Consider the following 26,071-nt stretch of genomic DNA (forward strand, 5'->3'; position numbering starts at 1 on the left):
TTTGAGAAGGATTGGTACTAGGTCATTTTTAAATATTTCTAATAGTAGAATGAGAATTAAACTTCTTTTTTTTTGAGACGGAGTCTCGCTCTGTCACCCAGGCTGGAGTGCAGTGGCGGGATCTTGGCTCACTGCAAGCTCCGCCTCCCGGGTTCACGCCATTCTCCTGCCTCAGCCTCCCAAGTAGCTGGGACTACAGGCGCCCGCCACTACGCCCGGCTAATTTTTTGTATTTTTAGTAGAGACGGGGTTTCACCGTTTTAGCCGGGATGGTCTCGATCTCCCGACCTCGTGATCCGCCCGCCTCGGCCTCCCAAAGTGCTGGGATTACAGGTGTGAGCCACCGCGCCCGGCCAAACTTCTTTAAATATTCTAATAGTAGAATTCAGTAGTGAACCCATCCAATCCTGGGCTTTTCTTTAGTGGGAGACTTTTTATTACAGCTTCTGTGTCATTTCTTGTTATTGGTCTGTTTAGGTTTTGGATTTTTTTCTGGTTCTATCTTGGTAGGTTGTATGTGTCTAGGAATTTGTCCATTTCTTCTAGATCTTCCAATTTATTGGCATATAGTTACTCATAGTAGCCACTTATGATTCTTAGAATTTCTGCAGTATCATTTGTAATGTTTCCTTTATCATTTTTTATTTGTATCTTTCTTTTTTTTCTTAATTAGTCTGGCTAAAGGTTTATTAGTTTTAACTTTAAAAAAAGAACAACTTTTTGTTTCATTGATCTTTTGTATTTTTTTTCCATTTCCATTTCATTTATTTCTGCTCTGATCCTTATTTTTTATTTTCTTCTGCTAATTTTGGGTTTGGTTTGCTCTTGCTTTTCTAGTTCTTTAAGATGCATTGTTAGATAGTTTATTTGAAGTTTTTCCTCATTTTTGATGTTGGCACAAAGTCCTTGGGCAAAGAGATGCATTTGGAACGTGCTCCCCAGTGGTATGGTCAGAGGAGATATGGGCAAGGCACCACTAGCTTAGCTGTAATTCCCATCACAATATTTGCATTAGATTTCATTTTCTTTAAGCAAAGCAACAAAGTAAGCCTGACGAAAAGGTAGAAAAGGACTTAATTCCAGGAGATAATTTTAAAAATATAGTAGATTAGAGGCATAAGTTGATGTAGTTGATGTATACTTTCTTTGTGAGTAAAGTTTCTGCAACCTCTCAGGGTAGTTGATGGATTAGCCTGTTTTAGGTATTTTCAGTAAATAAAAATGACTGCTGACTAAATACTGAACGAACCTTGTAGGTTTGTGTTTGTGATAAAGTATGAATTAATCTCTTGTTTATAGTTTAATTCTCATCTACTGAATGGGAGATGATTTCCACATGGTCTCCTCAGTACAGGGTGACTGCAACACTTGGGGAAGATGTGGCAGATACAGTTGGTTGCTTGTTGACAGAATCCCACATTTGTATAGGTACTGTGTAATCATATGCTTCAGGAAAAGTTGACCAATCTTGATTAGCTTAAGCTTATTTTGATTTCTTTCCTCTTGCTAGTGGTTGGTTTAGGAGCATGCATATCGCAGTTCTGGACAATGAGATATGAGAGGAGATTTGCTGGAGGGAGAGATTCTGAGAAGGCTTTCCGAGCCTTAAGAAGAGGTAGAAGAAAGGGTGTTATTATGTGAGGATGGGATGGATACCTGTGGCCACCTTGAAGACCAGACAGAATAAACTGGGGAAAGAACCAACACACTGAGGATCACAGAGAAGAAAGATGGAAAGCTTCTGGGATCTTGATGCTATCCCTGACCCACTCAGTTTGCCCACTCTGGAAGTACCTGAATGTTTCCTGTTACTTTGAGATAAAAATTCCATTTTTTAAGGATATTTCTGTCAGTTTCAGCTGAAAGCGTCCTAAGCTACAGATTCAGTAGAAAAGGAGGGAAATTTTCTTGTTTCAAATGAAATTTTATAATTGATTTAAATAAAGTCCAATGGGTTTTGGGTGAACTTAATTTATTGCTATTCATTTGAATACAGACATGGATGAAAGGAAAAGACTTTTGTATGGGATATGGTTGCAAGTCTTACTGAATAAATAAAGTCTCATTCCTGATTATGCTGGTTATTGAGTTCTTGTCCATATCAGGTAGTTAAATTATTTTAGTGCCCAGGTTTATACTTTATAAAACCAAAGAGTAGAGGTATGTGGGAATTGTCTTATTACCATTATTCTTTGAGAACTATTAACAAATGATTCAGGAATATTGGATTTTCAATTAACTTGAAGTAAGTTTCTTGGGATGATCTGCTTTTAGTTACTCTAAATATTTTTAGCAAGTACCTGGTAATCTGGGAGACTGTGGCCCAAAGTAGTTCAACTGAATTTGAAAAGGATCAGGACTGGCTATGAAGTGAGGCTGAGTGGGTACATCTATATGTGGATACGTTACTGTCCTTTGTGCATATTTCTTTCTAATTACGTTCCAAATCCAATAAGAAGTCAATTGTATTCATCATCCTGGGGGTATCATCTTAACTCTGCCATTTTTCCATATTAATGTATTAAGTATAAAGGTTGTGAAATCCATTTCAGATGCTCCTGGTTTGGGAAGTATAAGGTTACAGATTCAATGGCATTTAAATTTCTTTTTTTCCTCTCTCCTCTTTTTTTTTTTTTTTTTTTTTTTTTGAGATAGGGTCTTGCTCTGTCACCCAGGCTGGAATGCAGTGACATGCTCACTGCAGTCTTCACCTCCCCGGCTCAAATAATCCTTCCCACCTCAGCCTCTCTAGTAGCTGGAACTGCAGGTGTATGCCATCTTTCCCGGTTAATTTTTGTATTTTTTGTAGAGACAGGGTTTCACTATATTGCCTAGGCTGGTAGATTTCTTTATTTTTAAAATAGAAATGGTGGGGAAATGTACCATCCGGGTCACTGAAAAGCTGGAGCAAAGATGTATGGAACTCAGGGACATGGACTCTACTTTGCATCCCTGGTGGGGTGGGGGTGTGTCCTTACTGATGTAGACTTTAAGAACCATGAGAGCCTGATGTGTGTGTATAAATATGGCTTTAAAAAAGAAGACAGAGATTGTTTATCTTTAATAGCAGTAATATAAGGCCGAAGTCTAAAAGGACTCTAGGATAATAAGAAATGAATCCTCAGGCTGGCATGATGGCTCATGCCTCTAATCTCAGCACTTTGGGAGGCCGAGGTGGGCAGATCACTTGAGGTCAGGAGTTCGAGACCAGCCTGGCCAAGATAGTGAAACCCCGTCTCTATTAAAAATACAAAAATTAGCCGTCATGAGGATGCATGCTTTTAATCCCAGCTACTTTGGAGGCTGAGGTAGAAGCATTGCTTGAACCTGGAAGGTGGAGGCTGCAGTGAGCCAAGATCACATCACTGCACTCTAGCCTGGGCAACAGAGTGAGACTCTGTATCAAAACAGAAAAAAGACCTCAGTCTGTGAAGACTTTGGTCATACACTATTGCTTGGGGTTTAAGGGAAGCTGCCTTTTTGGTTGGGGGTATCCTTTCTGATAAAAGAGATTCAGTAACTTAGTCAAGCTTTGCTCTGTGAATGAAGGGGTGTGTGTGTGTGTGTGTGTGTGTGTGTGTGTTGTGGGGGGTGGGTGTGCATTCTTTTCCTGCCTTCTGGTTTTATAGGAGAAATACTCATTGGGTCTTGGAAAGACGACACTTCCTGTGTTTAAGGTACAGTATTATGCTGACTAGTAAAATAATCTTAATTCTTTGATAATGGGCCAAAGGCAAGTACAAGATGAATAGGAAAGCTATTATTACAGGTTTTAATTTTGAAAATTTTATGCCTCTTTTTCTATTTTTTGTTATATTTTTATATTACTGTCATTTCTGCCCCTTATTTGGTACTGATGCCTCATATCAGGGATATGACATATACCATAGATATATCATCAAGAGTAAGATATAACATCAGAGAAGTTATATCGTCTATTCTTAGGTTCTCTCCACACCCCATAGTTATTCTTTTATTTAACTGATTCAATAAATTAATTGATCACCACTGGTATGTCAGACGCTTTGCAATGCCTAGGGGTGTAGCAGTGAACAAAATGGGCAAAGTCTTTGCTCTCATGGAGCCTGCATTTTAATGAGGAAAGATGGACAATAAGCAGACATTTGGTAAGTTTGGTGGTGAAACGTACTAAGAAGAAAAATAAAGTAGATGATAGAATAATAGAGGAGGATAGAGAGGAAGTTTGTATCCCTGCTTCTTTGCATAGGATGATGGTTAGGGAAGATTTTCTCGATACGTTGACATTTAGACTGAGACCTGAATGGAATTTCTTTACTCCACTCCAACCATACTGGCCTCTTTGCCATTCCTTGTGTATTTACAGCACAAACTTTGTACTAATTTATCCCTTTGCCTAGAATACTCTTCTGAGAGATAGTCACAATTTAAATAAGTAGGGAAAAGGATTGGGAGTTATCAGTTGTGTTACCAGGCAAATGGAATTCCCTCTTCTATTAGAAGTGCAGAGGATGGGTCTGGCAGCCATTGAATTGTGTAGAATTATGGTTTCTTTAGTGAATCACTTCTAAAATAACATGCATAATTTGTTTAAATATACATGATGTTTAGGATAATTTTTTTGAAGACTTAATTAATCTCACCTGTTATTTTTCCCGCACTTGTTACTTTACAAAAATTAAAGTGGACTATCTAACAAAAAACTAAGTTGTCTTGGTCAGTTTGGGCTGCTGTGACAGAATACTATAGACTAGATGGCTGAAACAAAACAAATTTATTGCTAAAAATTCTGGAGGCTGGGAAGTCCAAGATCAAAGCTTCTGATGTCAGGTGAGGGATTTTTCCTGGTTTGCAGATGGCTGTCTTTCATTGTATCTTCACATGCTTGTGTCTTTTTTTGTAAGGGCATTAATCCCATTAATAATTACCTCCCAAAGGCCCCACCCGCAGATACCATCACATTGGAGATTTAAGCTTCAACGTATGAATTTGGGGGGATGCAAACATTCAGTCCCAGAGCATAAGTTATAATATTTTGTCAGTTGACCTAATAAAACATGATATCCTGGGTAACAGCATAGAGGTAATCACATTACTTTTAACACAAATAAAAGCTTGGAAAGCTTTTTGGTAAGCTGAAGAGGAATAACAGTTTTATTCTAATGCAATTTTTAAAACAACAATAGGCTATTGTTTTACACATCTCTCTGAAAACTATACATTTATTGACTTTATCTAGAAGGGCAGTAACTATGTATCTCTTTATTAATCTTTCTCCTAAACATACTGAAAATATTTTGCAGTACACCCTTAGGACTTATTAGGTTTATAAAGAAAAGGCAGCTGTGAATGAAATGCTGAATTGCATCCCCCATTGGATCAACTCTAAAATAATTATGCAAAAAATAAGAATAACCCCATTTTTGCTGAACATATAAATTTTATCATTGCAAAAGAACTGAATAGTTCAACACCACATTCTCATGGAGATGTCTTACTGGGACCGCAGTAGTTGGGTGTACTATTGTTGAAAAAGATAATTTCTATTTGTATGTAGGTTACTCTGTGCCTAAAATGGATCATTTCTACCATCGTATTTTATCTTCCTTGTTTTCCACCTCATCTTTTATTTATACTTCATAGATCATGATATTTGGAGCATATTTGGCTATTAGCCAATTAGTGCTTATCTTTTATAATGGTTTTCAAGGATAACAGAGATAAATTAAATTCCAAAATATTACTGAAACATCATTCCCAATAGCAACTATAACCTTCTTCTCGCCCGTGCTTTTTCTGGAACTATAGAACAGACCAAATGAGATTTCACCTTTTTTTTGTTTTTAAGCTAACTGTGCCCTCCAGTGGAGAAAACACAGGGCAGTGAAATAGCTCAGGTAAGAAGCAGCAGAGAGGAGAGGATGTAACACAGCCAGGTAAAGTTCAAGCTGCGTAGCTGTTTTCTACATAAAAGAAAGAAATTGTTTTCACCCCTCATAAGCAAGACTTTTTTTTTTCTTTTTTTTGAGACAGAGCCTTGCCCTGTCGCCCAGGCTGGAGTGCAGTGGCATGATCTTGGCTCACTGCAACCTCTGCCTCCCAGGTTCAAGTGATTCTCCTGCCTCAGCCTCCCGAGTAGCGGGGATTACAGGCGCGCACCACCACACCTGGCTAAGTTTTGTAATTTTAGTAGAGACAGGGTTTTGCCATGTTGGCCAGGCTGGTTGCAAACTCCTGACCTCAGGTGATCCGCCTGCCTTGGCCTCCCAAAGTGTTGGGATTACAGGCGTGAGCCACTGCACCTGGCCCATAAGCAAGACTATTATGCATAAGTCCTCCTCTTGATGAATTTGTTGATGAATCAAAGAAGGATATATTATCATTTCTCTGACTTAATGTCTTTGATGCAATGCTTTTCAGCCTTTTGTCCTCTCTGGTAGGATGTATTCAGTTTTTGACACATTAGGCAAGTGTAACAGGAGGTGAGTAATTGGATTTTTTTCTCCCCTAGAATGAACTCAAATGATAACTTTTAATTTTTTAAATTTTTTGAACAGATGAAAGAAAACCTTAAATTAAGTAGATATAAACAAGAAACATTTTGCTGCTACTTGTATATTCAAATCATTCAGAAAACTATGAATTGACTATGACTCCCCCTTTTTTGAATAGAAAAGGGAGAGAGTTGACCTGACCTCTGTGGCTTGGCCTGAACTTGATCTCTTGGTGAACACTGGGCTTCATCAGTGTGAATGGTGACTATGTGTGACTGAGCACCTGTGAGGGTTACAGAGGCACGTGTTCAGAACATGGGCTGGTATGTGTGCAACTCTGGGCTGGGGAATGGAGCCAGGTTTAGGGGATGCTAGACTGCCTGTGTTTCTGCCCTTCCAGGGAGGGAGAACTAGGTAACTAAGTTGAAGCTGAAATGTTAAAGGAGGCTTGATGGTTTTGTGTTGGTGGAAATTGGGAGATACGTTTCCCTAAAAGAATATAGTGGGTGATAGTTGAGAAACAGTAAACAGAGGCTTTCTTTTTCTTAACTCTTATAAAACCCTGAGCCAACTATCCTTACAATGAGTTGTCATTTGAAGTTTTCTACATACTCAAGAAATATGTTTCCTTATCTTATTTTAATGGAGCGTATCTTCTGCAAACCTTTTTACAGTTAGAGTGATTCTTAAAATTTAGGCACATACAGGACAATTAGACATAAAAAGACTTGACTTACAGATTTTAAAGCAGGGATCCTTGCATGGTAGACTTTCAAAATGATAGTATCTTTTACTTGAACCATCTTTTGCAAAGTAACATAAATATCTCAGAGACACTGCCAGAGCGAACTCACTTTTAGAAAAAGCAGGATATGTAAACTTTTAGTGATAAATTTTGAAATTCTTGAGGGGAAATGATATGTGATTTAAGTTCCTTCAAAATAATTTATCTTTATTTTATTTTTATTTTAAATAATGAATTATGTTTTAAGATCTGATTCATTCTGAACTATAACTGACTCTAGAGGGTGCTTAATGAGCACTGAAGACTTCCTAAAGATTTATATTGAAGATGATTTTTATTAAAATGAAGTTTATTTGGGGTTTTAATCCAGTATTTGAAAATAAACCATATTTTGCCCTCCCAAGAGAGCCTAGAGCAAAAATACTTAGTTGTCAGTATTTTTTCGTTTTTTTGAGATGGAGTCTTGCTCTGTTGCCCAGACTGGAGTACAGTGGCACGATCTCAGCTCACTGCAACCTCCACCTCCTGGGTTCAAGTGATTCTCCTGCCTCAGCCTTCCGAACAGGTGGGACAACAGGTGCATGCGCCACCACGCCTGGCTAATTTTTGTATTTTTAGTAGAGATAGGGTTTCACTATGTTGGCCAGGCTGGTCTCGAACTCCTGACCTCAAGTGATCCACCCACCTTAGCTTCCCAAAGTGCTGGGATTACAGGCATGAGCCACCGTACCTGGCCTAGCTGTCATTCTTTTTAAAGTAGGTAAATAATTTACCATTGTTCTTAGAAACTCTTTGAAAATTCCATTGAATTTGTGGGATTTCTATAAACTACCTTTGAATCATGCTTTTGAAAGCTTGTTTAATATTTCAAAAGAAAAGAACCTACTTCATGCATATAAAATATAAATCTTAGTACTGGATTAGTGTATCATTTTATAAATTTAGTTGTTTGCACAGATATTTATTTTATCTTTAGAAAGAAGCTATTCAAAAAGCACATTCTAAAGTTAGATTTTACAGAACATTTAGGTTTTAGAGTAATGTATGCTTCTTATATTTTTAGCAGGTAGAGTACTTTTAAAACTATGGTGTGTTTTTTTGTTTGCTTGGTTGGTTGGTTTTTTTTTTTTTTTTTTGAGACAGGGTCTTGCTCTGTTGCCGAGGCTAGAGTGCAGTGGTACAATCACGGCTTACTGTAGCATCAGCCTCCCGGGCTTAAGTGATCCTCCCACCTCAGCCTCCCAAGTAGCTGCAGCTACACATGTGTACTACCACACCTGACTAATTTTTATATTTTGAGTAGAGACGGGTTTTTGCCTTGTTGCCCAGGTTGGTCTCAAACTCCTGGGCCCAATTGATTTGTACACCTTGGCCTCCCAAAGTGCTAGGATTACAGGCATGAGCCACCACACCCGGCCTACAGTGTGATGTATTAATTTGAAGAAAATTTTCAGACTTTTCAGATGGGAAAGCTTTTAGAAAATTGCTGTCTTAACCCAAACTTCAAAGATGGTGATGATAAAGATATACATTGTAAAGCAAAAATAAAATTTGAAGGGCCCCCCAGCCCCCTGCAGCCATCTGAATGGACTCCCTCATCAGCAAGGGCACTGTAAAATTTAACCTGAAAGACTGACTCAGGCCATGAAGTAGGGGTTGGACATGCCTCATTATACCCCTCCAGCATTAACATCAACACAGACCTTAAGTCTGATAAGAAACATTTACAATCTATTTTCTCTGAAGCCTGCTACTTGGAGGCTTTGTCTGTATAATAAAACCTTGGTCTCAGCCTGGCGCAGTGGCTCATGCCTCTAATCCCAGGACTTTGGGAGGCGGAGGCGGGCAGATCACGAGGTCAGGAGATCAAGACCATCCTGGCCAACATGGTGAAACCCCGTCTCTACTAAAAATACAAAAATTAGCTGGGCATGGTGGCATGTGCCTGTAGTCCCAGCTACTCAGGAGGCTGAGGCAGGAGAATTGCTTGAACCAGGGAGGCGGAGGTTGTAGTGAGCTGAGATGTTGCCACTGCACTCCAGCCTGGCGACAGAGTGAGACTCTGTCTCAAAAAATGAAGAAACAACCAAAAAGCTTGGTCTCCACAACCCCTTATCTTAACCCAGAGATTTTTTTTTCTACTGATAATAACTCTTTCAACCAATTGCCAATCAGAATATGTTTAAATCTACCTATGACCTAGAAGCCCCTCCCCTGCACTGAGTTTTCCTGCCCTTCCAGATCTAACCAATGTAAATCTTACGTGTATTGATTGGTGTATATATCTTCCCTAAGATGTATAAAAGCAAGCTGTACCCCAACTATCTTGGGGTACAGCTTCTGAGGCTGTGTCATGGGTGCGTCCTTAACGTTGGCAAAATTAACTTTCTAAACTGACTGAGACCTCTCTCAGATTTTGAGTTCACAACGTTTACAAAAGGTCTGTGTTATAGTGAGAAAACTTTGCTAAACAAAATGAGTTATCCTTCATTGGAGTATTAGTCATTGCAGAGAATGAATGTTAATGTAAACTTTTACATGATGTCAGCCTATGAAAAAGTGATGTGTTTCCATACTACCCGTTTGTTTAACATTTCTTCAGAAATATCACACTGTTTTCATTACTGCAGGCAGAGAATCATATTAGAAAAATTCAGTAATTTGATGTGAAACCTATGTTTTACTCATTGAAGGCACTGTTATCCAACAGAACTTTTTATGATAATGGAAATATTCTGTATCTACACTGTACAATTTGGTAGTCACCAGCTTTTTTAAATTTTTTTGTTATACTTTAAGTTCTAGGGTACATGTGCACAACGTGCAGGTTTGTTGCATATGTATACATGTGCCACGTTGGTGTGCTACACCCATGAACTCGTTATTTACATTAGGTATATCTCCTAATGCTATCCCTCCCCCTCCCCCCACCCTACAACAGGCCCCAGTGTGTGATGTTCCCCTTCCTGTGTCCAAGTGTTCTCATTGTTCAATTCCCACCTATGAGTGAGAACATGTGGTGTTTGGTTTTTTGTCTTTGCGATAGTTTGCTGAGAATGATGGTTTCCAGCTTCATCCATGTCCCTACAAAGGACATGAACTCATCCTTTTTTATGGCTGCATAGTATTCCATGGTGTATATGTGCCACATTTTCTTAATCCAGTCTATCATTGTTGGACATTTGGCTTGGTTCCAAGTCTTTGCTATTGTGAATAGTGCTGCAGTAAACATACGTGTGCATGTGTCTTTATAGCAGCATGATTTGTAATCCTTTGGGTATATCCAGTTATGGGATAGCTGGGTCAAATGGTATTTCTAGTTCTAGATCCCTGAGGAATCGCCACACTGTCTTCCACAATGGTTGAACTAGTTTACCGTCCCACCAACAGTGTAAAAGTGTTCCTATTTCTCCACATCCTCTCCAGCACCTGTTGTTTCCTGACTTTTTAATGATTGCCATTCTAACTGGTATGAGATGGTATCTCATTGTGGTTTTGATTTGCATTTCTCTGATGGCTTGTGATGATGAGCATTTTTTCATGTGCCTGTTGGCTGCATAAATGTCTTCTTTTGAGAAGTGTCTGTTCATATCCTTCACCCACTTGTTGATGGGGTTGCTTTTTTCTTTTATATTTGTTAGAGTTCTTTGTAGATTCTGGACATTAGCCCTTTGTCAGATGAGCAGATTGCAAAAGTTTTCTCCCATTCTGTAGGTTGCCTGTTCACTCTGATGGTAGTTTCTTTTGCTGTGCAGAAGCTCTTTGGTTTAATTAGATCCCATTTGTCAATTTTGGCTTTTGTTGCCATTGCTTTTTGTGTTTTAGACATGAAGTCCTTGCCCATGCCTATGTCCTGAATGGTATTGCCTAGGTTTTCTTCTAGGGTTTTTATAGTTTTAGGTCTAACATTTAAGTCTTTAATCCATCTTGAATTAATTTTTGTATAAGATGTAAGGAAGGGATCCAGTTTCAGCTTTCTCCATATGGCTAGCCAGTTTTCCCAGCACCATTTATTAAATAGGAAATCCTTTCCCCATTTCTTGATTTTGTCAGGTTTGTCAAAGATCAGATAGTTGTAGATGTGTGGTATTATTTCTGAGGGTTCTGTTCTGTTCCATTGGTCTGTATCTCTGTTTTGGTACCAGTATCATGCTGTTTTGGTTACTGTAGCCTTGTAGTATAGTTTGAAGTCAGGTAGCATGATGCCTCCAGCTTTGTTCTTTTGGCTTAGGATTGACTTGGTGATGCGGGCTCTTTTTTGGTTCCATATGAACTTTAAAGTAGTTGTTTCCAATTCTGTGAAGAAAGTCATTGGTAGCTTGATGGGGATGGCATTGAATCTATACATTACCTTGGGCAGAATGGCCATTTTCATGATATTGATTCTTCCTATCTATGAGCATGGAACGTTCTTCCATTTGTTTGTATCCTCTTTTATTTCGTTGAGCAGTGGTTTGTAGTTCTCCTTGAAGAGGTCCTTCACATCCCTTGTAAGTTGGATTCCTAGGTATTTTATTCTCTTTGAAGCAATTGTGAAGGGGAGTTCACTCATGGTTTGGCTCTCTATTTGTCTGTTATTGGTGTATAAGAATGCTTGTGATTTTTGCACATTGATTTTGTATCCTGAGACTTTGCTGAATTTGCTTATCAGCTTAAGGAGATTTTGGGCTGAGACGATGGGGTTTTCTAGATACACAATCATGTCATCTGCAGACAGGGACAATTTGACTTCCTCTTTTCCTAATTGAATACTCTTTATTTCTTTCTCCTGCTTGATTGCCCTCGCCAGAACTTCCAACACTATGTTGAATAGGAGTGGTGAGAGAGGGCATCCCTGTCTTGTGCCAGTTTTCAAAGGGAATGCTTCCAGTTTTTGCCCATTCAGTATGATATTGGCTGTGGGTTTGTCATAAATAGCTCTTATTATTTTGAGATACGTCCCATCAATACCTAATTTATTGAGAGTTTTTAGCATGAAGGGCTGTTGAATTTTGTCAAATGCCTTTTCTGCATCTATTGAGATAATCATGTGGTTTTTGTCTTTGGTTCTGTTTATATGCTGGATTACGTTTATTGATTTGGGTATGTCGAACCAGCCTTGCATCCCAGGGATGAAGCCCACTTGATCATGGTAGATAAGCTTTTTGATGTGCTGCTGGATTTGGTTTGCCAGTATTTTATTGAGGATTTTTGCATCAATGTTCATCTGAGATATTGGTCTAAAATTCTCTTTTTTTGTTGTGTCTCTGCCAGGCTTTGGTATCAGGATGATGCTGGCCTCATAAAATGAGTTAGGGAGGATTTCCTCTTTTTCTATTGATTGGAATAGTTTCAGAAGGAATGGTACCAGCTTCTCCTTGTACCTCTCGTAGAATTTGGCTGTGAATCTGTCTAGTCACCAGCTATTGAGAGCTTGGAATGTGGCCAGTGTGACTGACGAACTGAATTTTTAATTTTGTTTCATTTTAATTAAAAATTAAATTAATAGCAATGTGTATCTAGTGGCTACCCTGTTGGACTGCACTGATTTTAAGTCCTCCTGCTAGGTGATAGGTGTATCTGGGATTGAATTATGACTCTGATGGTGCATATGTGTATCTGTTTAGTCCTTTGAACTTTTATAATCCTGCCTGAGGTACTATAACATGCAAGCACCTTGTTTTCAAATAGCCACATTTATGTGAAAAGAAGAGGAATTGTGTTCTGAAAACTAAGTTAAGTTTAGGTTAAACCTGAAACTTAACTTAATTTAAAAAATCCTCTGACTTTTTAACAAACCCGTAGATTAAATTGCATTTGCCCTTTGGATGTGTCTCAAACCCTGAAGGTTTTCTTCTGTGCTTTTGAGTTAAAATGCAGGTAGCATATAACAGGTGACTGCAAAATGGAGGGACTGATGAAAACAAAACAAAAGCAACCACAAACCAGAACTTATATCTACTCTGTAGGAATTTTGTTTGAAAGTTGGTATGCTTTTCTGAATGTCCTTAAGTATAACAAGTCTTCCTACTCTGAGGGTAAACTTGGGTATTATAAAGAGGCAATTTGTGCTTACGTCTGGTAAATAATGATAAAATACTTGAGTAATACTTTATAATTTGCCAGGCAGTTGCGATTTCATCTTCTCCTTGGAATATTAACCCCATTCTACCGACAAGAGAACCATGATTTAATCAAGGTTCTCATTCATTTCGCAAACCCTTATTGATCACTTACTATTGATCACCTTGCTATTCATGTAGATTTCTATGTTAGGAATGAAAGAATAGTTCCTCTCCTGGAGGAATTAACAATCTAGTTGGGACAATTAAACAAAGAAACAATAAATTATACTGTACTCAACAGGATGAGATTATATATTGTATTATATATTATATATATTATACATATATATATATATAAAATATATATGTGCATAGGATGCAGTGGAAGAAGAAGGAGAAACATCTGGCATGGTGGTGAGACCTGAGGGAGTCAGGAGTTTCCCAGGTGAAGGAGGCAGGGGAAAGGTGCCCCAGAAGAGGATATGTCAGGAGTAAAGGTGTGAAGGTGCTAGTGTTCTAAATCAGAATAAATTTAGTAAATAGAAGGTACCTGAATATTCACATGCACAAAATTTACTAGCAGTCTTATATCATTTTGACCTTGCTTTTTTTCTAGCTCAGTCTGAAGAAAAGCTGGGCTAAAAATAGCTCCTGGTACAGTGATAAAGCATCCAAGTAACGATTTCAAGGAGAAAGTTAAGACTAGATTTAGTTATTTGGCAAACACTAACTTACAATATTGATGTGCTAATAAGAAATCATCTTACTTATTAAAGCAGATCCTTAGAGGCCTGTTTTTGTTCCTCTTACTGGAATATCAATTCCATGAGGACTTTAATTCACTGTTTTCTCAGGGCCTAGAACAGTACCTGACATATATTAGAAGCTCAGTAAATATTTGGTATATAAAGGAATGAATCCTAGGCTATTATGCTAAAAGTCACTGTGAATGCTTAAACCATATTAGAAATGTGTTTTTTAAAAATTCAAGAATTCATTCATTTCCATTATTCAGACTAGCCTTTTCTCCAGTGTCTGAGATACCTATTGCTATATAACAAACTATCCTAAAACTTAGTGATTAAAAAAAATTATTGCTTATGATTTTGTGGATCCGGAGTTTGGGCAGGGCTTATTGGAGACAACTTTTTTCTATTCCACATGGTATTGGCTGGGGGTAGAGGGTTCACGATGGCCTCACCTCCATGTCTGGGGCCTTGATACTAGTTGTTACCAAGGAAGCCTCAGTTTTCTTCCATGTGGTCTCTCATTATTTACTAGACTAGGTTGAGCTTCCTTACATGGTACTGAGATTGTTCCAAGGTGAAAACAGAAGTTGTAAGATATCTTAAGGCCTTGATCTGAAAGTTATACACTGTCAGTTATGCCACATTCTTCTTCTTCTTTTTTTTTTTTTTTTTTGAGACAGAGTCTGGCTCTGTCGCCCAGGCTGGAGTGCAGTGGCACCATCTTGGCTCATTGCAACCTCCACATCCTGGGTTTAAGCAATTCTCATACCTCAGCCTCCCAAGAAGCTGGGATTACAGGCATGTGCCACCATACCCAGCTCATTTTTATATTTTTAGTAGAGATGGAATTTCGCCATGTTGCTCAGGCTGGTCTCAAACTCCTGGCCTCAAGCAATCCACCCGCCTTGGCCTCCCGAAGTGTTGGGATTACAGGCATGAGCCACTGCACCTGGCCAGTTCTACCAAATTATGTTGGTCAAAGCAAGCCACAGGACCAGCTCAGATTTAAGTGGAAGGGAAAAGATTCTACTTTTTGATTGGAGAATGTCAAGTTCCTATAGCGAAGTGGCATGAGATGGAAGGTATTGTTGCAGCTGTCTTTGGAAATAGTGTGCTACAGTCTGCCCTCTGAACATATCAATTCACATTTCTTCCACGTGCAGAATATACTTACTCCTCTCTTAGAAGTCTTATCCCATTATGGCATCAACCTGGAGTCCAGTATCTTTTCATCCAACTAAAGTCCAGATGCATATGAGATTTCTTAGGCACAGCTGCTCCAGTACAGCTTCTTTAGATCTAGAAATCTGTGAATGAAAATATAAGTTACCTGCCTCTGTCTCCCATCCCCCATCCAACATACAGTGGTGAGACAGGGGCAAGAAAACTGTAGTAGATGCTCTCATTTAAAAAGAGGAAGAATTGGAAGCACTGTTCCATAGCAATTTTGAAATTCATCTGGGCACATGTTACTAAGTCTCTTACCCCATGTATCAAAAATATACCTTGAATAGCCTTTTCACAAGATGGCGCTGAAAGCAAAGAAGGAAGCTCCTGCCCCTCCTAAAGCTGAAGCCAAAGCAAAGGCTTTAAAGGCCAAGAAGGCAGTGTTGAAAGGTGTTCACAGCCACAAAAAAAAGAAGACCCGCACGTCACCCGCCTTCTGGTGGCCCAAGACACCACGACTCCGGAAGCAGCCCAAATATCCTCGGAAAAGCACCCTCAGGAGAAACAAGCTTGACCACTATGCTGTCATCAAGTTTCCATTGACCACTGAGTCTGCCATGAAGAAGATAGAAGACAACAACACACTTGTGTTCATTGTGGATGTTAAAGCCAACAAGCACCAGATCAAAAAGGCTGTGAAGAAGCTCTATGACATTGATGTGGCCAAGGTCAACACCCTGATTCAGCCTGATGGAGAGAAGAAAGCATATGTTCAACTGGCTCCTGATTACAATGCTTTGGATGTTGCCAACAAAATTGGGATCATCTAAACTTAGTCCAGATGGCTAATTCTAAATATATGTATATCTTTTCACCATATACATGCCTCTGTCAATTTCTGGTTGGGCTGGGAGGCCATATACAGGCATTGACATTGTAACAGGGCTTGGTCAAGACTCTTGTTTTACTTATGCTTTTGGAATACTCACCCTGCCACTCCACCATGTTTGATCACTCCAGAGATCTATGTGACTAGAGTTAGCATCATAGGAAAACCAGAACTCAGAACTTGCCTCCATGGTTGAGGGTAACAAGAAGCTTTAGAAGAACCCCTTTTATCCCTGGAAGAGGCTGTGTGTGAAACCAATGCCCAGAGTTTGAAGGGTATTAGCATCCATTTCAGGCGAGTATGGGTTGGCTGGCTTTCAGGTAGCATTTTGTCCTCATACACCCATCTACTATGGTCCAACTGGTCTGTCTGTTTCCCTCACTCCTTGTGCAATAAAGGACAAGGACTTCAAAAAAAAAAAAATATATATATATATATACCTTGAATAGTGCCCAGTTCTGCTCTTTGAGAGTTGTTCCCTAGTACATTGTTTTGTAAGACTATTAGCTCTACCCTTTGGGCTCTTGGCTTTCTCCTTCTTTTTTCTTTTTCATAAGAAATAGGTCATATTTGTAGCTGAGTAGCTTTTCAACCTGCTTCTTACCTATGTGAAGTTGGGAACCCACAGATATTTTATTTCTCCCATTTTGAACTGTTTCTTTCTCTTTTAGTCCAAACTGGTGGTACTTTTAGTACGATAGTTTTCTTTAAAACTTTGAGAGTTTTCTATGAATGTTATTAGGGATTGATTCTATGTCCCAAAAGCCACATTTATAATCCCTTTCCAGGACAGAACTGTCTTTACTTTGGGTCTGCCTATTGAAGAAAAGGTCATTAAGATTCTTCGAAGTCCCTTTGTATAGATGAGAAGGGTCTATATTTTCAAGGTCTCAACAAAAGATCTTATGGACAAACCTCTGATTTGATATCTCCCCAGAGACCATTTTTAAATTTCAGATCTTTCGCCAGTTGTAGAGACTGTTTTGGGCCCTCTTTACTTCCTCTAAATTCTGCTTAAAAATTAAACAGGTCCTTCTTTAGTTTATTTCTCTCTTCTCCATACTTTATCATATGCAGCTGAAAGAAGCCAGTTGGTACTACTTTCAGTGTTCTACCTGGAAATATCTTTAGCCAGTCAATAAGTTAATTAGGTAAATATTCTATCTTATGTAATTGTTAAATTAGGTAAATATTATTGCAGACAACAGTCTTGCCAAACATTCCACCACTGTGTAACATGAGGCACTCTCTCTCCTGCATCTAATAGCAATTTTCTCATGGTTCTTCTGGCCTTTGCTAACAACTGACTTTCCACTTTTTCAGCCTCTGCCTGCCATCAGGTCCCAAAACCAATGCTGCATATTTTAGGCTGTTTGGCACTTCCCTTAAGCAAGTCAATCAAAGCAAGTCGCATATCCAAGGAAGGGAAAATAGATTCCATCTCTTGATGGGAGGAATGGCAAATTCACATTGCAAAAGAGCATGTGGAATGGGATGACTTATAGTCATCTATAGAATAATCTATTGCACCTAGTAAGTTTAAACTTGGAAGATTTACTATAGGTGAGAAGTTAACAAGTGGTAGCCTGTGTATGTATCTGGCTCACAGATATGGTATATTTGGCTTGGATAGAGTTTTAATGAAAAAAAACCAACATAATTTATCATCAAACAATTGGGAGATTTTATCTAGAAGGTTATATATCAGGTCTCTCTTGAAAAATAGTAAGCTGTTTTTGTGTTGGGCCTTCATTTCCATATTAGCTGGAAATTGCCTGATTTACTCCCTTTCATGACCTCTTGGCTCCTATAGGTATTTGATTTTGCAGTTTTTGCTGCTGCAGATTACTAATTTATATGTTAGTTTTTTTTAAGGGAATATGGTGATGAGCAAGACAGTCATAGAGCTTACATTCAAGTATGGGAAGATGGACAATAATACTAGATAAATAATGTAATTGCACATGGAAGTGGAATAAAGCAAGAATCTGGGATAGAAAGTAACTAGTAAATAGGTAGTTGGGGTGGGGATATTTTAGATAGGGTGGTCAGGAAGCCCTCTCTGAAGACATGACGTTGAGTGGCCTTAGTGTGAGAAGGAGCCAAACATGGGGTAAGAGTGTTCCAGGCAGGCTGAGCCTCGTGGCTGATGCCTGTAATCTCAGCACGTTTGGAGGCTGAGGTGGGCAGATCACCAGGTCAGGAGATCGAGACCATCCTGGCTAACATGGTGAAACCCCATCTCTACTAAAAATACAAAAACATTGGCTGGGCATGGTGGCACGTGCCTGTAGTCCCAGCTACTCGGGAGGCTAAGCCAGGAGAATCGCTTGAACCTGGGAGGCAGAGGTTGCAGTGAGCTAAGATCGCACCACTGCACTCCAGCCTGGGTGACAGAGCGAGACTCCATCTCAAAAAAGAAAAAGAATGTTCCAGGCAGAGGAAAAAGCAAGTGAAATGACCCATGGGTGGGCCTGGGCTTGGGGTGTTTGAGGAAAGGCAAAGCCGAGAGTATAAGAGGAGAAAATGGTAGTAGAAGAGGGGCATGAACGAGGTCATGAAATATCCTGTAGGACATAAAAAAACTTGAGCTCTTATTCTGAGTAATGGGAAGTCATTGAAGGAATTGAACAGGGCTAAGGTTGTGATGTCATTTACTTTTTGCAAAGATGTCTGTAGCTGCTGTGTGGTAAATAGACTAGTGGCAAAGGGTGGAAGTAGGATGTTGTAAAGGAGGCTTGCAGTCATCTAGGGGAGGTATAAATGATGGGGCCTTGAACCAGGGCATGGTACTTTTAGGAGTGAGAAGTGGTCATACGTGGTATGTATTAGACAGGTCTTATGGATTATTGAATATGGGATATGGGAATGGGAGGAATTAAAGCCAACTTTGAGGCTTTTGGCTTGAGCAACTGAATAAATGGGTGGTCCCATGGGGAGTTCTGACAGAGGAGCAAGCTCGAAGTGGGAATTGAGAGTTTTCTCTTGACTATTATTAACTTTGTGACCCTACTGCAAAAATAAGTTTGAAAATGAAAACTCCTAAAGTGAAATTGTTTTTATCTTACAGCTCTTTATATGTGTTTTTTTCTTCTTTTCCTCTTCATTAGAAGACTTTGCCATTACTTGGATGGCATACCAGCTGCAATGGAGGAAGTATACAGATGTATATTGGAGGATGTATTTATATTTTAATGTGTAGCTATCTGCTGTCAAGAATTAGGCAAGGAGACTAGTCACTCACACCTGTAATCCCAGCACATTGGGAGGCTGAAGCGGAAGGATTGCTTTAGGCCAGGGATTCGAGACCAGCCTGGCCAACATAGTGAGCTCTTGTCTCTACAAAAAATTTAAGAATTGGCCAGGTGTGGTGGCTCACACCTGTAATCCCAGCACTTTGGGAGGCCGAGATGGGTGGATCACTTGAGGCCAGGAGTTAGAGACCAGCCTGGCCAACATGGTGAAACCCCATCTCTACTAAAAATACAAAAGTACTAGCTGGGAATGGTGTCAGGTGCCTGTAATCCCAGCTACTTGGGAGGCTGAGGCAGGAGAATTGCTTGAACCCGGGAGGCAGAGGTTGCAGTGAGCCGAGACCACACCATTGCACTCCAGCCTGGGCAACAAGAAAAAAAAAATTAAGAATTCGCCTGCCATGGTGGTGTGCTATTTTGAGTAATGGGAAGTCACTGAAGGAATTGAACAGGGGTAGTGATGTGATGTCATTTACTTTTTGCAAAGATGCCCCTGGTTGCTGTGCCGTGAATAGACTAGTGGCCACAGGTGGAAGCAGAATGGTCATTTAAAATTTTCTATTTATTCCAATTCAGTGTGGTCATAAAGGATCAAGTGTAATTTATTATTCACATTTTATTGGTATGGAGAATTAATTCATTTTTACTATTAAAAAAAGGTGGCATGTTAGTAATCAGAATGTTCTAGGAGAACCTTCCAGAGGTTTGCAACTCTTAGAATTGAAATCACTATTTAGCTAAGACCAGAATCGTAACATAAGGCAAGATTGAATAAGGTGAATGGATTTGATGAATTAAAGTGCTACTTGTAAAGGATAGTAAATTCACTTTTGCATTTTAGATAGTAGCTTTTATTGTAAATTTGGATGCAAAATGAGATAATAGCGTTTTCACCCCTTTTCAAGAGCCATTTGGAGATAGCATTTTGACTAGATCTGTCATTCAATTCAGCTTAGAAATAATTTATAATTTTATTTTTAAATTCCTATTTTAGGATATTATCATATTATCATGAGATAATGATAATACCACTCTAATTTTATTATAATTGGGTTGGGAGGAAATAGTCTTTTGTAAAAGGTTAGTTAGTGGCATATTGCCATTAGCATTTATTTTACCTTTTTTAGAAAATGAAAATCATTACACTTAAATTCAATGTATATTATATAGAGAACATAACTGATTTATAACCATGTAAAATATCTTGTCTTACTAACAAAACGTTCAGTTTTTCCTTCTTTGTGAAACCTTGAGTCAAAATGTACTAGTGAGGATGTTTATATTCCAGTGGTGTAGCTGAACCAGACAGGTCTGCAGCGCAGTGGTTTATTTTTAGACCTGCGTTGCCATTTTTATCCTGCAAAAATATTCATCAGTGTCTTGCTGACAGGCCATCAGTTTCATAAATGTGTCACATAGACCAGATTTTGTTCTTTGTCTCATTTTCCCTCCAACTCTTCTTTTCCTTTTGATTTGTTCATACAACTGTTTGGAGGAGGAGAATTTTTTTTTTTAATTTCAATTCATGTATTAGATGCTTCAATTCTAAGATCTAACAGATTTTCAGATCACCCAGTTCATTCATCTATCTGCATCTGCTTACACATCTCTACTTATTGTCTGATATGAGAAGCTGTTATAGATCACTAAGCTGAAGGCAAGGAAAAGAGAATTGCATGCATTGGGGATTCTCTTCATGGGTCCAGTCAGTTTTTGACTGCCTTCTCCATATATGTTTTTATATATTTATGTGTATGCTCTGTGTGTGTGTGTGTGTGTGTGTGTGTGTGTGTGTGTGTGTTTTCGTTTATTTACTTGTCTTACCCAACAAGGGACTGGCATAAAATATTTTGCATAAAAAAAATAGCTGCCTAAGGGCCTAGGGGTTACCATATGTGGCAGAAAGCCATGTATTGAAAATAAATCCATCATTATCTTTAAATACATAGAGCACCAATTATTTAATTTGTTAGGAGACTGTTTTAACCTGTTTGGGCTGCTAAAACAAAATACCATAAACCAAGTGGCTTACGAACAACAGAAATTTATTTCTCACAGTTTTGAAGACTGTGAAGTCCAAGATCAAGGTCCTGGAAGATTTGGTATATGGTGAGGGACTGTTTCCTGGTTCACAGATGGTACTTTCTCACTGTGTCCTCTCATGGCAGAGGGGGCAAATGAGCTCTCTCAGACCTCCAAAAGAGGACTGATCCCATTCATGAGGGCTCTGTCCTCGTGATCCAACCATCCACAAATGCCCCCTGCTAGTACCATCACCTTGTGGGTTAGGGTTTCGACTATGAATTTTGGGGGAACACAAACATTCAGACCGTAACAGAGATGATGTTTTGATTCCAGATGCCTGAGTGACAAATATCACCAAAACAGAAGGAAAAATTCCTGCAATCAAGAGAAACTAGGGGCACATACTTGAGAATATAGTAATTTTTTAACAGTGTATATTCATGTCTCATTTTTATAAAAACTCAGATTCCCAGAGCAGGATTGGTATTCACTTATCTCTGTAACAAATATTTACTGAGTAGCTACTTGAGGGCCCAATATATTAATTGCTTTAGTGGCTACCATGGCTTGGAGAACAGGATTTCTGACTTGTGGAGCTTATAGTTATTTTAAGAGGAAAATACTTCTATGTATATTTCACAGACATGGCAGTACAGCATACTAGGTAAGAGTATAGGCACTGGAGCCAGAAATTTGCATTTATAGTTTGTGCCAGTCATTTCCTAGTTTTGTTACCTTGAGCAAACTGTTCAGCTTTTCTGAGCCTCAGTTTCTTCATCTCTAAAATTGGTATGTACTTCAGAAATTATTGCAAAGGTTAAAAAAGATGATGCTTGTTTAGCAATGTGCTAAAAATACTGAACATCATGCCTAGCACATAGTAAGCACATAATAAATGCTGGTTAATTCATAATAACAGTAATAACAATGATGGGGATAACAACAAATATTCTATGCATATTCTGTAATGCTTTAACATCAGGAATGTCTTCAGCTGTAAGTAACAGAATACACAACTATGGTGGCTTAAACAGATAAGGATTTATTAATCTAACAAGTCTGACATAGGCCAGATTGAATATTAATTATTCAACAATTTTTATCAATAATCTATATGCCAGCTACTATTCTAGGCACAAGGATTCATCCATTAACAAAATGCAGTTATTCCTGTCCTCATGAAGCTTACATTCTAATTGGGGAGAGAGACAAAAATAAACAAAACAATGTAATATAAAAATGGTAAGTTATTACTATGTTAGAAGGTGGGCTTCATAGAAAGCTTTGTGAAGGAGGGCCCATTTATGTTAGGCCATAAGGGAACAACAGAGTTTGAATAAATGAGGCTAGGTGAGAGAAAGACACAACAGAGGAACAGATATGAGAAAAATGGAGGAGCCATTTTGAGCCATCTCAAAATGGAAGTTTTGGCAACAGTGCTTTGTTAATCATCAAGTAATCAGGAGCCATGAACGCAAGATTTTTCTCAGATTTCTAAAGTAAAAGATTTCATGTTGTTATTTTCACTTTATGTAACAGTTAACAATCAAATAATAATAGTGATAGTAATATGTAGTGCTTACAAATCAAACGTTCTACTTAATACTAATGATAATAAAAGCATATGGCTGACACTTACGTAATGCTAATTAGGTATCACACTAGTCTAAGGATTTGGTATTCATATCCTAATCTCTGTGTTAAGTACTAATAGTATTCCCATTTTACAGATAAGTAAAGTTAGGTAGTTTGGTAACTTGGCCCAGGTTTATTTGCCCTTAGTGTCTCTAAGGGCGATAAGAAAAGAGATAACTGGAGAGATAGCCTCTCATTCCATAATCCAGGGGATAGAGTGGGTGAGGAAATGTTCAGGGAATATAAGTAGGTTTAACCCCTAAAGCCCGAGCAAAGGAAGAAAGGAGAAATTGAGGGCGTTAGTAGGGCTTGAGATGGCTCATCTAAACAGTTACCCACAATTTCCACAACTCTGGCAGAAATTTACCATTAGATGAGATTAGGTCCAGAGCTTTATCATATTTCAGAGACAGGCTTTCCAATGCTAAGCATCACACATATACCTTACCCAGCAGGGACCATTAGAATCCTTTTCTCATAGGGAGAGTGTCTTTTGTTGTTTGTTTCTTCACTTGGTTATCTCTTAAATGAAAGAAGAATTTTCCAATTTCAACATGAGCTTTCAAATGGACCAAATTCTCAAGCATATTTAGGTTGTGTCTAAATAGTTCTTATAGAACAAATATTATGATATGTGCTGCCTGTTAAAATTTCTGTCTGTATTCATGTACACATTCTATGTCTAATTAGAAGCTGCCAGCCTTGTCAAAATACAAGTATGGTCCACTGTTAAAACCTGATGTAAGAAAATATAAATGTATAAAAATAGTTAAAGTTGGGAGGTGGGGGGCCATGGAGAGTACTTGCATTCTAAAAAAATTTTTAAGGCTTCCATTAATTGGGAAAGTTTGCTTTACATAATAATTCAAAGAATAGATTTTATTTATGTAGTATAAATGTGAGACCACAGTTATTACATAAAGGGTGAACTTACTTAAATATACTTTATATTAAGGATTCAGTCATGGTACAATGCCATGCTCATTTTCAGTGAACAAGACAACTGTATACTCAGATAGCATATGGTAGAAAGAACTGAGGCATCACAGGCCAAGAGGCCCCCTGAAGCTGAATGTGGTCTTGCTGGTGCTGTTAGACTGAGTAGCCCTTGTCGGAAGAAATGGTAGATTCCATCAGAAAATGTTCAATGTAAAATATTACAGCAGTCCTTGTGATTTTCAGTAGGTGTTTCCCAAGCTACTCTTACGTTATTGGGATCAGCTAACTAACCGAAGGTGGCTGTGTTCTATTTAAATAAAATCTTGAGTTTAGAAGGTTTCAGGGGAGTCCCAGTTTAGAGGGAACTTTGTGTGAACTTTGATTCTGTTTGAATCTTGATCATGCTAGAGAAATAACTCATGAATATAAGGCTTTTTTTTTTTTCGATAGGGAGTCTTGCTATATTGCCCAGGCTGGTCTTGAATTCCTGGTCTCAACTGATTTTCCTGCCTCAGCCTCCTGAGTAGCTGGGATTACAGGCACACACCACCCTACCTGGCTTATAAGGCATTTTGTTGATATAAATTCCCATCATAGTACAAACCACCATCTCTTAATGCTGAGTTTTACAACTCCTTCTCCAAGTATTTGGTGTTATGGTAAAACAGTAGGAAAAAAACACAACAATTCACCCTCTTTCTACCCTTTAATCCATTTTTGTTTTTAATCACACCTTTTTTCCTCCACTTTGCCAGTGTGCTTCTTGATCTCAGGTTGGGAGAGATGAACTATGGCAGTAATGTATAGTGGGCAGTGGACTCCCCTTTCTCCAGAGATGGTAGAGTAGGTTTGGTGCTTTTTTGTTTGTTTCATTTCTGGAAAACTTGAGTTTATGTGTTTTTCTGTCTGAGGCTTTAAATACAAACTGAATTAAGCAGACATCTCAATTGTGGCAGTAACCACATGGGGGCTTGCATAGTGTGATTCTGTTTTTTTTTTGTTTGTTTTTTGTTTTTTTGTTTTTTGAGACCGAATCTTGCTCTGTCACTCAGGCTGGAGTGCAGTGGCACAATCTCCACTCACTGCAACCTCCGCTTCCTGGGTTCAAGTGATTCTCCTGCCTCACCCTCCCAAGTAGCTGGGATTACAGGTGCCTGCAACCACGCCCAGCTAATTTTTGTATTTTTAGTAGAGATGGGGTTTCACCATGTTGGCCGGGCTGGTCATGAACTCCTGACCTCAGGTGATCTGCCCACCTTGGCCTCCCAAAGTGCTGGGATTATAGGCATAAGCCATTGCACCTGGCCCAATTCTGTTTAACTAATATACAGAATATAATTTTATTTGAATTTTAAACTATAAAAACATTACACAAGAAATATATTTACTTATAGAAAAATTAGAAAATCCAGCTAAGTAAAAAAAAAAGAAAAGAAAAATTATTTATATTCCTCTACCTAGAGGTAACTACCATCAACTTTTTGGTCTGTGGCTCTTTTAGATTCTTTAGATTTTTTTCCCAAAACAAAAAATGGCTACTGTACTTGTTACTCCTCCCACTGTATCTGGGAATCGGATTATTTATGAGCTAGATTATTGGTAAACTTCTTTTGACTCATCATTAGGTGATGATCCTTAGAAATTTCAATTAAAGATCTTCTGGAGAAATAAACATTGTTAAAACAAAAATAGTTAATTTTTGTTAATTAAAAAATAATCCATTTTTTCTTCACTTGGCTGTGTATCATAGACAGGTTTTCACTGCCAGTCACCATTCTTTGGTGCCATAATTTTTGATAACTGTATTGTGTTCTATTGTACTGATATGCTATAATGTGTAATATAGATATGCTACATATAATATAGATATAAATAAGGGTATAAAAGATTAGTATGCACCATAATTATATACTATATCTATATGCTATTATGTGTGCTATACATGCTCTATAATTACATATTATAATGTATTTAGTGGCCCCTTATGGTTTCAATGTTGGTATTGTAAACAGTGCTGCCACATACCAGCATCTTAAAGGTCTTGTTCATTCTGAAAAACTAAAAGGGAAAGGCAATAGAGTAGCAACTTAGTAAGGGCCAGCAAATGGCATAGAAAGTTATGACATTTAAAGAATTGTTTCAGATGTCCTT

General features: G+C 38.4%; 1 protein-coding gene and 1 pseudogene across 7 annotated transcripts in view; both read left to right on the top strand.

Moving 5' to 3' along the window:
* The window catches only part of HSD17B12 (hydroxysteroid 17-beta dehydrogenase 12), a 299,895-nt gene that overhangs the window by 146,418 nt on the left and 127,406 nt on the right, over window positions 1–26,071 (top strand). The window lies entirely within an intron of this gene.
* Window positions 15,518–16,245, top strand: RPL23AP63 (ribosomal protein L23a pseudogene 63; annotated as a pseudogene).

The sequence above is a fragment of the Homo sapiens genome, chromosome 11 (genome assembly GCF_000001405.40).
Source record: "Homo sapiens chromosome 11, GRCh38.p14 Primary Assembly".
NCBI lineage: Eukaryota > Metazoa > Chordata > Mammalia > Primates > Hominidae > Homo > Homo sapiens.